The following is a 2,465-nucleotide window of genomic DNA, read 5'->3' as shown; positions in this document are numbered from 1 at the left end:
GATTGGCCAAAAAAAGGGTATGAGCTAATGGTACTAGACAGGGGAAACCTCGCAAGGCCTGTCTGTTCAGAGTCTTCTTGGCTTTTCTATTGCAGCTTTTCTTTCTTCCAGGTATAGGGTAGGACCCCTTTGGAATGAGGGTCTTAGTTTGTTAGTTAGTTTATTTATTTATTTATTTATTTATTTATTTTTGAGACGGAGTCTCGCTCTGTCGCCCAGGCCGGAGTGCAGTGGCGCGGTCTGGGCTCACCACAAGCTCCGCCTCCCGGGTTCACGCCATTCTCCTGCCTCAGCCTCCTGAGTAGCTGGGACTACAGGCGCCCGCCACCACGCCCGGCTAATTATTTGTATTTTTAGTAGAGACGGGGTTTCACCTTGTTAGCCAGGATGGTCTCGGTCTCCTGACCTTGTGATCCGCCCGCCTCGGCCTCCCAAAGTGCTGGGATTACAGGCGTGAGCCACCGCGCTCGGCGGGAAAGTTGTTTCTTTTAAAGCAGCTCCAGAAATATTTCTTGCCTAGCAGGAAAGCCCCAGCTCTTACAGCCCAGCAGGCAACCTTTGACATGCAAATGCAGGCCATTAGAAATTGGGTCCACCCAAACATGGCGATTCCTGCCCTCTTCTTCCTGCCCTTGCCCCCACATGTGCCGGGCAACATAACCACCCCCACATATCCCCATGTGTGTAGAGCATTATGGTGTCCTGCATTCACATATTGAAAGGTTAGAGTGGGAGGGCCAGTTTTTTTGCCGCTACCTGGATGACATGCCTGGTCAAGCCAATCCCCTGAGCCCTATGCAAATCAGACACCACCTCACCCAGCCTCTTCATATAACTGGCTGGTATCAGCCAGACTCAGGGTCTCCTCTCTCGGCTTTGGGGCCCCCCTCTCTCTGTCTGTGCATGGGGGAGCTTCTTCCTTCTTTCTTCTCCCTTCTTTCCTGCCTATTAAACTCTCTACTCCTTAAAACCACTCCACATGTGTCCGTGTAGCTTTACCTAATTCAGCATGAGACAAGAGCCCTTATGTTTCTCCACTAATCGGAGCCATATCAATACTGATGAAGGTAGACAGACATACATATAAATACATAAATTTATATACTTCAGCAATTCCTGATAATTTTCTATGTATTGTTTCGTTCTGTGGCACCATAAGCTTTCCATCTTTAGGTACTACATGTTTACTAAGTTAACACCCTTGCTGACAGTACAAATGTTCAATGATATTCTGTCCCCCAGTGCCAATGCTAACCTGTTCATTTAAACCAACCTAAAGTTGGCAGGGATCCCAAATTACTCGGGGCATAGCAACCACATGAAGCTGAGGAGACTTACCAGAGCATTATTGAGAATAAACATTTCAAGCTGTTGGTACCAAGCTTAGAACTTCTGTTCTCCCAGACATTTGGTTTCACCATGCTCTTTGAACAGAAGTGGGCAGGGAAGCAGTATCAGAACAACATTCTCTGTCTTCTCATTTCTGCCTCTCCATATGTAGTCAAGGCTTAGTCATTGTCCACAATATTAAGAACACATGGACCTCCTCTTCAATATGACTGTGAAGAAGAGTTTTTTCTTCTAATATGAAAAGGACTGTAGACATAAGCTCCACAAACTTATTGTCCTTGTAGATGAGAAGTAAACTAGTCTAAAAGAAGGTCTACCTAGATGTTTTCTTCCTTCCAGAAACATTTGCCCTTTCTCAACCTAATTTGTGGATGTACATATGTTAATATGAGAGTAGAAGGATTGAAACCATTGAAACTTTCTTCTCAAGACATTGAAATTAGAGTCACATATCAAATGATATTCTACTACCAGGTAATACTGAATAAAATCAATAGCAAAAGGTAGTTTTTTACCATACTGATCACGTTTGTTTAAAACAAAAGTTGCTTGGTATTTAACACAATATGTGTTAAGCACTATGATGTTTAGCTTTCTCTGTCCTAAGTAAGGGAACCAAGGAAACATATCTTAATAATTTATTCATATATTTTAATTTCCTTTATTCAAATTCCTTATGACAGTCCCCATCACCACAAATGCAAACACACACACACACAATCATTTAGTTTCTAAATTTAAGCAGGTTTTTTTTCATATCGAGGCTATTCTATAAGCCTGTAATAATAATTGCTATTACTTCTTTGCATTTTCCTTTAATTTCTCAAGTTAGTAATTAATGCTGAAAGAGTGACAGAATGCTTTAATTTCACCAGTTGGAAAATTATATTCCCTCAATAAAAGTAATTCAAAAGGAAGAAACTGCATAGTGTCATAGAAAGAATACTGAGCTTGGAGAAAGATTCTATAATTTTAGGGTTAACTGCAGGAACTAGAGCAAATCTCCTTACCTCCCTGAATGTGTATCCACATTAGTAAAACGTGACAGTATTAAAAATGTCTTTTACAGGAAAAAAAAAATGGCAGATAGGAGGCAGGGCTAACTTGCAGCTCCT

The 2,465-nt window shown here is 41.8% G+C and overlaps 1 annotated feature.

The window, feature by feature from the left end:
- Positions 363 to 864: an enhancer, noted in NCBI's record as "NANOG hESC enhancer chr7:144782351-144782852 (GRCh37/hg19 assembly coordinates)". NCBI's record gives its function as "activates a minimal SCP1, AML or CMV promoter by ChIP-STARR-seq in primed H9 embryonic stem cells {active_cell/tissue: H9 hESC(primed)}" and the evidence as "EXISTENCE:reporter gene assay evidence [ECO:0000049][PMID:30033119]".

This window comes from Homo sapiens, chromosome 7 (genome assembly GCF_000001405.40).
Source record: "Homo sapiens chromosome 7, GRCh38.p14 Primary Assembly".
Lineage (NCBI taxonomy): Eukaryota > Metazoa > Chordata > Mammalia > Primates > Hominidae > Homo > Homo sapiens.
Note: the sequence above shows the minus strand (reverse complement) of the source record. Positions and strands in the feature narration are given on the sequence as shown.